The 12,905-nt window shown below is 34.3% G+C and overlaps 1 protein-coding gene and 1 long non-coding RNA gene across 4 annotated transcripts in view; one reads left to right on the forward strand and one right to left on the reverse strand.

Moving 5' to 3' along the window:
* The window catches only part of NXPH1 (neurexophilin 1), a 319,353-nt gene that overhangs the window by 170,567 nt on the left and 135,881 nt on the right, over positions 1 to 12,905 (forward strand). The gene's annotated exons all lie outside the window — the stretch shown is intronic.
* The window catches only part of LOC105375144 (uncharacterized), a 67,939-nt gene that overhangs the window by 39,651 nt on the left and 15,383 nt on the right, over positions 1 to 12,905 (reverse strand). For all 3 annotated transcript variants that reach the window (XR_001745084.2, XR_007060208.1, XR_927017.4), the window contains exon 2: positions 8,715 to 8,816. This is a non-coding gene — a long non-coding RNA (uncharacterized LOC105375144). The remainder of the gene's footprint in view (positions 1 to 8,714; positions 8,817 to 12,905) is intronic.

Below are 12,905 nucleotides of genomic sequence, written 5' to 3' on the forward strand. Positions count from 1 at the left end.
TACATTTAGAATGATATAAGAAGTGATTGGGATTAAGTTGTTATAAAACATCATGTATTTTTTAAACTTGTTGATTCAATGTTCTCTGCAACCCTTTTCAATATAGCCTGATCTTTTATATTTCTAATTATCTTGTACAAAAACATATCTTGAGCACCTACCTACAATGTACCCAACACTGAATGTACTCTTTGAGTGGTACAAATGGAATATAAGGTGTTACAATGAGAAAATACACTAAAATGGTTTCGCCTGCATTTTCTTTTTAGTTGCGCTATTCCTGCTTTCTTACTGTATGATTTCCTTTCTTTGTTACATAGTAGATTGCCTTTCTCTCACCACATTTTTGGTTAAAATTGACTTATGCAAGAGGGGCTTTGAAGTGAACAATATAAAAAATATAATTTTCAGTCAAACTTTGAGCTTCATGGTTATATGTTTTTCATTGCAATTTAGAATCTATAATATTTTATCATACTATATATGCCTTATTTGTGATTTGGAATTTGTACCTGAATTATTTTCTAAAACAAGATATTATAGGCAGGTTCCAATATGGTACTAGACTACTAGTGGCAATAGCATAAACAAATACCAGTTTTGAGATTTGTGAATACACATTTCTTACAAATTTGTGGCTGGTCAAAATGCTGACTTTCTGATTAATTAGAAGTCTGTAGCCTCAAATAAGCCCAAATCTATTTATTCATGTCATAGAGGGGATACACTGAGTACTTCCAAATAATTTATATTATATGGAAATAGTAACATGCTTGCCATTTTTTCTCCACCATTTTAGATTGATTCTTAAATATCACAACATTGTACATCATTGCTAATTGTCAGAACTGCGTACCATATTGCCATATTTACTTCTATAGCTTTTCCTTTGTATTTTAACATTTGAAATAACTTCAAGTGAATTCATTCAGATTCATTCTTAATTACTAGATTCCTAATAGGACTGTTTAAGGAATGCCTTATATTTGATGTGTGGAAAATGAAAGGTGATATAAAAATGCAGTGTTATAGGGTAGCTTCTGTGTAATTTTGGCTCACTGGAATGCCAGTTGGGGAATGGCAAAGGCTAATACTCAACAGATGGCAAAGTCCTAAAACCTATAATAATGGTTGCAGTTATTTTCATTACTGTCATTTGAAGGCACATGCAATAATGTGAAAAGGCTTGAACTGGGTAATCACAGTAAATATACTCAAAGGGACCAGATGCATTTCAAACAATCAAAACGGTGATGGATATTCAGGCTGAGTGCCACTTCTGCACATATTCTAGGTACATTTATTGCTAGGGATTAGAAGCAACATTACTTGTCACAGAGAGGAGCTCCATTTCCCCTTTTAGTAATAACAAGCAACAAAAATTGACATCTGTTATAACACAGACAGAATATTTCACATCCTTTATGATTGTGTGTCATTATCATGCATATAAATTTAGTTTGCAGATGTTCAACGTCAGAGATCAAAATACCAATTTTGCCTACAAAAGAGTTGCAATGGATACCGAAAATCTAAGCACTTTTGAAAATAGATAAGTTAAATCTTTTAGAGTGGGGACAATAAAAATCAAATAAGATTAGGAAGAAAAAGCATCAAAAGGCATCAGAAGGGGCTGTGTGGAAGTTTCAGAAGATCTTAATATTTCTATTTGCAGCTTTGTAAAAGCACCATTCTTGATTTTAATCTCCAGAGACTGTAGTTTGGAGTTGTTATACATCTTTGTTATTTTCTTCCATACAATAAATAAAATGAGGCCAACATTTTTTCCTTGAAAGAATCTGTCATTCCAGAAAATTAATTAGTTCACATATGAATATTCATAATTCTTCCTGTGTCTAATATGTAAAAATAGTTCTTGGTGATTTTGTGCAAGGGATTGGGTAGCAATGACCTACAATGATGCTATTAAACATAGTACAACAGACAAGTTGACCTTTTCAGGTATTCAGTACTCAATTTAACATCACTGTTTGTTCTATATATAATTTCCTTTATTACATTTAGGAAACAGATGAACAGATTGATAGAAGATGAGAGGAAAATTGTATATTTTGTAGTACAATATAAAACACCTAAGAATAAAAAAAAATATGTTTTATGGAAAACTCTTCTCCTTTTCCCCACCCTACGTAACCCCTAACCACATACAACTTCAACCAAAGGAAAGAAACCTACGTTACTTGTTTGAACAATCTTGTGCCTGCTTCAAAGGTACTGTTAACAATGTGATGTATTTTGCATTTGCCTCTGGGGATTTACCACTCAATATTAAAGTACTTCCCACTGTGACATTTTAAAAACTGTCTCTTTCCTCTGCTGAGCTAAAAACATAATGGGGATCAAGAAAACCATCTGAAACAAGCATAGTATAAAATTTCTGCCAGGCATTGGAAGTTAAGGCATGGTTTTTGACCCTCCTTTTGTACTGGGCAAAGATACAGGACTGCTGCCCTCTCACTCTGCCTTTTCAAAAGCTTGTTAAATGAATTGCCTCTGCCATATTGTAAACTTGACATATTTGCCCAGGGTCTTTGGTTCAAATCTAAGTGTATATCCTCCTAGTCCAGTGAATATGTGCAGAATGATATTTGTAAATCAAGACATGATAGTGATGCTACTTTCTGAAGAATCTAAAAAAACAGAATTGGTAGGAAGCTGGGATTAGATGATGAGAACATATAGTTTCTTGAAAATATTTTTATTTTTTTCTAGATATATATTTCTACCTTGAAAAGCAAACCACTAATTTTATTGATTGCTTGATTTCTGATGTTTTGTGAATATAACCTATTCTTAGTAAATTTGGTAATCTGAGGACATATTTTATTGAATAATTTTAGTTGGGGCTTTAATTCTAGTTTTTCCTGGGACAAATATACGGTTGGACTCATATATATCCTGGGACCAATACAGTTTAAATTATAGTAAAATTAACAAAATTAACTCGAAGTTTGAACTTGAACAGTGTGAAATCACATTGGAACATTTTAAATTTAGTAGCAATAATTGGCCTATCCATAATTAATACAGTACTTATATATATTATTGCTTAAATAGGTGTTTAAATTTTACATGCTCTGGGTGATTTTGCTTAAATGAGTTAAAAGCACAGTTTAATTAAGACCAATGAGTTGCTAGAAGAATGCATTTGGCTTCATACTTTTCTTGGATCGTGTCACTCGATACAGTACTCACTAACTAGTGGCAAATAAAAAAGTCAATAAATTCCTGTTTCCATCAACTAGACTAATGAACTTCATTAGTTGATCATGTTATCAGTATAATTACTACAGACCACATTTTGCCCTTGGCTATTAATGCAACAGACTTCTGTACTTAGAAGAACTGCCTAAGAAGAGAACTCAGGTTAACTCTGGCAAATAACTTTGACTCTTTTCTTTCTAAAATCATTATTATATCCTCTGGAAATAGAGTATCCCATATACTCAGCTATGATGGTTTTCACATTGAACTGTGGGAATATGTTGCTAGACCCCTTTGCTTTGTTATAATTGTGTTGGCTATGCCTTTATGGGATACTGTTGTGGGTTGAAATATGTTCCCCAAAAAGATCTGTTGAGGTCCTAACATCTGGTTCCTGTGAATATGACCCAATTTGGAAATAGAGTCATAACAGATGTAAATTAAGATGAAGTCGTACTGAAGTAAGGTGGACTCTTAATCCAATATGACTGGTGCCCTCGTGAGGTGAGAAGAGACACACACATACCTAGGGAAAATGCCATGTGGCGATAGAAGTCAAGATCAGAGTGATGCAGCTGCAAGCCAAGGAATGCCAAGGATTGGTGGTGACCACCAGAAACTGGGAGGAGGTAAGGAAGGATTCTATCCGGAGTCTCAGAGAGAACACTGCTTTGCTGATTCCCTAATTTTGGCTTCTACCCTCTGGAACTGTGGGAGAATACATTTCCATTGTTTTCAGCCACCCAGTTTGTGGTACTTTGTTATAGCAGCCTGAGGAAACTAATACAAATTTCTTACTTGAATTATTAACCATAATAGATTAACTACTTAGCTAGTTAGGAGGAAGTGATCAGCTGTTCTCAGGGATAAATGGAAGTCTTGAAAGTCCAAGAATTATTCATTAGGACAAATTCTTAAAAATTCAGTGATTTTTTTTTTTTTTTTGAGACAGGGTCTTGCTTTGTCATCCAGGCTGCAGTGCAGTGGAGTGGTCACAACTCACTGCAACTTCAGCCTCCTGGGCTCAAGCAAGCCTCCCACCTCAGTAGCCTCCCACTCCTGATTAGCTGGGACTACAGTGATGTGTCGCCATGCCCAGCCTAGTGGTATTTTTAACAGATAAATAAGAATGGAGGTAGTGGCAGAGGTGGAGTGAGAAGAGAGACAAGTAAAATATAGAAATTTGAGGGAAGTGAAATGGCCCTTTCTGTATTTTTTTAAAAATATGGAGGTTTGCATCTTCTTGATTTGCAGCTTTGAAAACATTGACTTTTTTGTGCGTCATATGACACTAATAACAGAAACTACCCCACCAAAATACCACCACAAACTTCACTTAAAATAAACTCCAAAGAAGAATCCATTTTTCGTGTGATATGAATGACAAATGATTATAAGGAATTTTAATAATTTATATAAAAATCCAAAGAGTCATATTGTAAGTACTGACAGGTATACTAGGGAGTTTTTGATCACACTTAAAAATTACTTGTGTAATTAGGTACAACATTAAAATGAGAACAGGGATATATACAGTAAGTCCTCACCTAATGTCATTGATAGGTTCTTGGAAACTTGACTTTAAGGGAAATGACTACTCTATAATGAAACAAATTTTATCCCAGCTTAAATGATATAAATGAGAGTCATTTTGCTTGACATCACTGTTTACAAGAACCTATCAGTGATTTTAGGTGTGGACTTATTGTGTGCATAATTCATATATTATTTAACAATATATTAGGTCCAAAGATATATCTCTGGCTTTCTTATTCTACAGATGGTTAATGTCTGCTAGCTAAGCTAGGTAAGTTAGGAAAAGCTTAGAAGCTCAATACATGTAAGCAAATAAAAAACCCAAAAACATCATTTTAGACGATTCTTTAACCTTCTATTCTAAAATTATGGCAGGCACTATACGTAAGGGCTTTATAGTTTACATTTTGTAGACGAAGAATATAACAATCAAGAAACAGTCTAAAAAACTGGCAATGGAAGAAAGAATGAAGAGAAACCCAAGACTTAGCTAATTCATGATGTTGCCTCAAATATCAAGAAGCTGGTATTATGCAAATGGATCTTGTGAGAGGAAATGAACTCAGAACTGAGATTATGACTGTGACGTACTTTGAGACACTTTCAGAAAGATTGAAAGACGAAAAGATATTTCTTGGTACAAAGCACATTATGATTGATGACTGTTTGAGGGCAGTTATCTTTAAACTAGTATTACAGACAAAAATCCCATCACTTGTGTGATGTCCTCCATTGTGTTGTAGATTTTATTAGCCTCATGGTTTTATGTGAGCAAAGAATGATCTCAACATGACACAATTTTAATATATTTTCTCCCAAGCTCTCAGAGCTATTTTTGTCTATTAATTTTAACATAACAGAGACTGCAGTTCCCTTATATTTTGCTGTTCTAAGGGAGAATTATGTCTTTTATTTTAAGCCAGGTAGAGGGAAAGCATTTTTGTTGTTAAAATAAGTGAGGATGATTATTTTTCCCATTCAGATTTTCAAATCCCTTGGCGAAGAAGGTATTGCATTATTAAAATTTACTTGTTTGATTTAGAGGTACTGCTTTTGGACATGGTAAGAGTTTTGAACTTTAATTTTGATTTATTTGCTTGCTAGAGTGATAGCTATGAAGAATTCATAACATTTTATTTTAAATGGAAATTGCTAACAGAAATAACTGCACTTTATAATCGTTTTGAGATAATTTTGGTTGCAATTTCACATTTGACTAACAGCATTAGAGATATGATTCCAATTAAGGGAAGTAGTAAATATTTTCCTTTGAAATTTCTAAGAAAGGAGAGCCTTTCTGTGAATTAATGCATAGGTTGATATATGCAGAAAACCAAGCACTCTCCATAGCACAAGAATGTTGAATTAGCTAGGAATTTGCACTGAATTAGCTAGGAATTTTATACACCTGTCAACATTCTCCCCTTTCCTTATAATTTTCTGTCTATTTCCAGATCTTCATTCCTCATGATTCTATCACAGGACGTGTTAGAGGAGCACACATCACTATGGCTTATGACATTTCAGAAAACATAACTTAAAAATTCCTTTGCAGAACTTTATTACAGAAAAATTGATCACATGTAGTAAGGAATAATAGGATACACAAAAAGTACCACATAGAACAGTACAATTTTAGAAAGGGGAGAGAAAGAAGGAGAATATGTATCCTTCCAGATGTAGATCCCCAGATGATAACAGGGCTATTTCTGGGTGGTATGATTACAACTGGTTTCTATTTTCTTCCTTTTGTTGATTCATTCCCTCTAATTTTTATATGATTAACATGTATTAATTGTGTAATTTTTTTTCAACTTAGAACAACTGAATTAGGGTGGATGTTTTAAATCCCATCTCCATAGTACAATCAACACACTAGATATCAAAGGCTCTTTTTTGGAACAGGAGGGCAGACTGCTATTAAATATTATTCCAGGGATATGCAAATGTTTAAGAGGCTCAGGTGGGCATGGAACAAGTGTGCTGGGAGGGTATCACCAATGGAATAGCCATTAAGGGCCTAGGCAGCACTTAACTTGAGTCACAATAGCACTGGGTCTGGATAATAGCCATTGTGGCTGAAACGCCGCTTAGAGTTGTACTCTGTGCCAAATTCACTTTACCCACAGAAATTGCAAATGAGTTATCATTCTCATTTTTTCCTTTTATTTCTAGTTGCCACATCATTGTACATATTTATGTGATACAGAGTGATATTTTGATACATGTATACAAATTATGATACATGCCATGATCAAATCAAAGTACTTAGATTGTTGAAGGGCAGGCAGAAGACTACATGATATAATTTGATGGGCTTTTAAAATGTTCCCTTACCCCCAAGTTTCTCTCAATCGGCTGGCCCTAGGGTTTTCAATTACCTCTGTCTTCCTTTGGGTTAAATCACTGTATTTTGAGAAAATGTCTTTGAAAATACTTGCGTTACATGGTCAAGACCACCATTCTACAGATTACTTGCTAAAGACCAAATCTCTGAAGAAATGAGCATAAAGTAAGAATATTGACAGAGGAAGGGAGACAGAGAATCGTTTGGATTGTTGATCACTATCAGTAGCAATAGGTGATGAAGTCAAAGTGGAGGGTTTTTTCACCAGGACTCAGTGTGAAAATCCTAAGTATTTGATGTGAATTTGTGAAGGAAGGCACTGAAATAGGGAAAGAAAAATTTTAAAGCTTGCTCTGTACAGTTAAACCTTGTGGCATATTTAACAAATATGTTTTCAATAACTCCAATGATCTCTTGGTATGTTGGAATGCATAATTTTGCCAAATTTGCATAAAGTTCATGGTAAAGTGATGATAGGAGACTTTGGTTAGGTAGTAGGTGCATCTATCCAGCCACTCAGCATCTCTTTCTCAGCAGGGCTCTTTTGTGTGTTCTTGGTACTACTAAGTCTAGAGTAACATGGAGAATTGTCCTACAATATTCTTAGCAGTGAAACTTTAGGCAATTAATTTGTAATGTCAGAAAGTTCCCAGCGTGCATGTAACACTAGAAGGAAATGTGATTTCAGAATGAGCCAGATGCATTTATAAATATTTCAAGATTGTAAATTTCTTGAAGTTTCCAGAGTAATAAAGAATATCAAGAACTGACTCTTTGGGAATTCAAGTTGTTATAAAGCTAATTGAATATGTGAAGGCATGTTCAGTGTTTGAGTTCTTTTTCTCTTTTTTTTCCCTTCCCCTTCTTTCCTTTCTCTTTCTGTCATTTCTCCCTCTTTTCTTTACTTTACCTCTCTCCATCCCTCTTTCTTTTTCTTTCTTTTTTTTACATTCTCCCCTTCCTTTCTTCCTACCTTCCTTCCTTCCTTCCATTTTTTTTTCTTTTTCTGCCTTTTGAGTATTTATAGTGATATAATCAAGCAGCTCAGGGAATTTGGCTGCAATAAAGGCTGTTTTGGTGACTCCCTGCTTCTCTTTTCTTCTCTCAAACATAGTTTTGAGAAGAGGAGATATAGTGCTAGTAGCAGCACTCAAGAGACACTTGATTAAACTTGAAATTTTATAAGCATTCCAATGCTATTACATTAAATGTATATAAATACTGACTTGGCCAGTTTTGCCAAGAGTGAATTAATAAGCATTCATATGTGCTAAGTTATAAGAGAGTCTAATCAGTTCTGCATTCTAACATTGCCTTTTGCTTCTACTCCTGTTACAGTCCAAAGAGAATATTTAAAAGATTCCATGTTTATATTCTTATTTCTTGATATTAGACCACTACTTATTTTGTTAGCATTCTGTCTTCACAGTCTGTCTCATTCATTCATTATACCCTTTTCCTGGCCTGGTATCATTAACCTTGCTTTGTAAATAAAGAGAGACACAGAGGTCAGCCTTCTTGGCGAGTGTTTTGTCTACTTATTGCTATTGCTGATATTAGATAAAAATATTGAAAAAATGCAGCTTCATTTCCTTGTTTACCTTACCTGAAGTTAGGTCTCAATTATGCACCAGGGGATTCTATGCTGCAGTGAAACTGCTTTGTTGGGTAGGATGTGACCAGGGAATGCAGACTAACTTTCAATTTTCTGTGAAAAAATAATAATAAAGATGGTCAGTGTGTTGCCAAACTATAGGGATATGTGTGTTTTTACTTATCACTCTGTACATGTGTATCCACATTTACATAACCATGTTTGAGTTTTCATGCCACTACTACCTTGAGTCTTCCTTAATATATAGGATTCAGAGGGTTTTTTTTTCAATCATTATCTCCATTACTTTCACATAGCCAATTTCAATAATTATAGTCATGTTTTAAGTTTTGCGCACATTTTCTTTTAGCCAGAAAAGCTCCATTTTAAATGCTAGCAAATCCAGTAACTCAAAAGCTTTCAAATATAGTCTATTGTCCAGGGCTTTCGTGGTGCATTTCAACAAAGAGAATCTCTATGCTCACTCAATTTGCAAACATCTGGAGGAAAATAATGTGATAATTAGAAGGCACCATGGGTTCATCAAAAACAAATCATGCCAAACTAACTTAATTTCTTTCTTTGATTCCTTAACAAGCTGAGTGGGAACACAGAGGGTATTTTTATTATAGTAAGACACTTGATGTAGCTTTCTAACAATCTTAAAAGGCTTAGGGAAAATGCAGATTAGGGAAAATGACTGGTTAATGTAGGATATCTTTGTAAAAAGGGACCAGCAACCATTATCTATCTATGGTTCAGAATACAGTTAGTAGAGGCTGTTGGATAAATTTTATTTTATTTATTGTATCATTCAATATCTTAAGCCTTTGACTTTGATTATCTATATTTTATATCTCATAGTGTTTTTTAAGGTAACTGGCTATAGGGATTTTATTTTTAACTAATAACATTGGTAATTTTTTTCTAGAAAGGAACATATATCTTGGCCATCTTTTTTCATTAAAAATCTATGAAAATCATACACACACATATACATATAAATCACATATAGACTGAACACACGTGTATATATAATTCATAAAATTATATCATAAATCATAATCTTAGTTTCAACGACTAATATTGTTTTAATAACTGTTCTTATGGTTTTGTGTCTGTCCATAATGTTTTTATAAAAGTGAGAGTATACTAAGTTTACTATTTCTGATTTGTTTTACTTTAATAGTATAGTGTTAAACACAGTCCTAAGTTGATAAATGTACTTTTACAGATTTATTTATAATTATTGCATAGTATTTCCGTGGATGTGCCATAATTTATTGACTCGTCTCCCTTTGTTAGATAGATTATATCTTTGTTGTTGTTTTTACAACTATAAAATATAATGGAATAGCTATACTTGTAGTTAAAACTGTTTTCTTATACGGCATATACCTAGACATTGTATTATTGGGTAAAAAATGCAAACATTGTAAGAATTTTATGTGTGCTCTCTAAATGCCTTCCAAAAGGTTGAACCAGTTTACATTCCTACTGGCTGTTTAAGAGAGGATGCTATATATATGTATTCATATCTATAGACATATATGTCTGTATGTGTATATATATGTAGATATATGTATATGTCTATAGATTTTATGCATATGTCTATAGATATGGATACATATATATACATACACGTTTAGAAATAGACATACATGTGCACATATAGGTGTATATGTCACATACACATACACATTTAGAGATAGAGACATATCCATATACATATATGTAGGTATGTATATGTCTATAGTTTCCATTTGGAAAAAGGAAAGTTCCTCTTTGGGAAAAATGAAACTCACTGGAAAGATTTAAATGATAAAAGTTGCCATAAATATTTTAGAAACTCTATGTTTGATTATGCAGCTGTGATGAAAGAATATCAAAATATAGGCTTAAATTGACTTTTCTCCTACTTCTCTGTAAAGATTTATCAAAAGGAGAGATTCATTTTGTGGCAGTTATTGTTCTTATTGAACATCCTGAAATAAGAATTATTCTATGCCTCAAAGTAACACTAAATTATATTCTTTGTTAATATATTAAACAAGCAAAGGTCTTTTAAATGGTGTTTGAGATTAAAGATTCTGTTTTGTATTTTAATTCTGCAGCAAATACAGCTTCCTAGCTTCTACTGTTAGTTGGCTCTGATTTCTAATTCTCATCTCTTCTTTCTTTTTACTTGTTGTGCCTCATTACAATTTCAAATGAAACTGTATGACGCTGATTGGAATTGTTTCTATTGGGGGAAAATGTACGAATTAGATGTGCCCAGGAATTCATCTGCATTTGAGCCCTGCTATTTGTTTGACACAATGGGTTTTCAGGAATGGGATTGCGGGAGCTAAATCTTTAATAAAATTGTTATTGACTGTCCCTGCAGGAGGCAGTGCGCATGGTGGCTAAACATGAGGATTCAAACCCTCAGCTCTGTAGCTTATTGGCTATGTAATTAACCTCTCTGAGTACATTTACTCATCTGAAAAATGTAATGATACAAACCTCTTAAGGTTGTTGAGAGGATTCGATGGGATAATTTAAATGAGTACAGGGGACTTAGTAAGCTTTCAATAGATGTTAGGTGTTACTGCTATCTCTTGGTGATCCACACTTCCCTCAGATGGGAGGGCATAATCTTTCCTATAGCTATTGCAAAAATAATCTGACTCTGCTTGTCCCATATTATTGCCTCATTTTGGAACAATTATATCAGAATCTGTAAAATAACTATTATGTCAATATTTTCCTGCCTGTCTCCCTTCCCTCTTTCCTTCTTTCCCTTTCCTTGCATTTATTGAGAACCAAAGGTATTCTATGCTTTGCTAAAGATTGGAGAAGGAAAACTGATAAGAATCATATTTTGAAGAAGGTAACACACCAGTGGAGAAGACAGATGTTAATCAGGTAATCACATAAATAAATGTAAAATTGCAAGGATGACAAGTGCTACATAAATGACAGCTGCATGGGTTATAAGAGCATATAGGAGATTGGAAAGACTTCTCAGAAAATGAAACAGGGAAATAAAGTATAAGAGGTAAACAGGTGAAGCAGTAGACTTCTACATAGTCTCCCTATTTTTGCCGTTATCTTCTTAAAGCTTATTCTCCGCATAGCAGCCAGAGTGACCACATTAAAATGAAAGATAGATTATATTAGATCTCTGCTCAAATCCCTCTCATCATGACTTCATTACATCTCACTCAGAATAAATCTCGTAGTTCTTATTTTGTTTTATAGACCCCTATGTGATTGGTCTCCTGCTACCTTTCTGACCTCATGATCTTTCACTCTCTTCTTACACAGTCACGTTCAACCACACTGGCCTCCTTGCTGTTCTTGCTGTTCCTTGAACATATAGGTAAACTTCATTTTGAAGTCTTTTGATCTTGTTCTCTGCCCAAACACTTTCCCCAGGTACCCCCTCACCATATCAGTGAGCTCTTCCCTGATGACCCTATAGAAAATAGCAACTCTGTCTCTATCAGGACTCCTCATTGCCCTTATGCTGTATTTATCACCATCCCACATTTTATAAATTTACTTGTTTATTTTTTGTTCTCCCTCGTCATCTCGACTCAACTTGTTAAAAACATCATGGGATCAGGAGGTTATGTTTACTGCTGAAATCCCAACTCCAAGTATAGTGCCTTGAAGGTACTAGGAACTCATTTAATATTTGAGGAATGAATTAAGGAAGAAGAGACATGGTGGTAAGAGCATTTAGGACAGAGAGCGAAGCATATGTAAGGGCCCCAAGGCAGGTAGAAGCATGGCAGCCAGGGGGGACTGAGGGAAAGACATTGTTGCTTTTGAACACAGTGAACTAAAAAAAAGTGTGGAATACTAGAGGCAAAAAAGGTAGGTAAAGACTGGATCATACAGTTATAAAGATTTTCCCCTAAAAACAAATACAAGCTACTGAAGTATTTTAAGTTGAGATGGGGTTGAAGGACCAGATCAAGTTTATGTTAAAAAAAAAAAAAACCACTCTGGCTGAAGTATGGATATCAGATTTGAGGGGAGGACAGTGTGAATGTGAGTAGATCAATTAGGAGTTCGTTATAGTAGTTGTGCCAAGAGATGGTGCCAGCTTGGGCCACTGGCTTCAGTGGATAAGAAAGGAGCGGATTGTTTGAGAGCAGTGGTTCTCAACTGGAGCAGTATTTGACAATGTTTGGAAATACTTTTTGTCATTAC

Source organism: Homo sapiens, chromosome 7 (genome assembly GCF_000001405.40).
Source record: "Homo sapiens chromosome 7, GRCh38.p14 Primary Assembly".
In the NCBI taxonomy this organism is placed as follows: domain Eukaryota; kingdom Metazoa; phylum Chordata; class Mammalia; order Primates; family Hominidae; genus Homo; species Homo sapiens.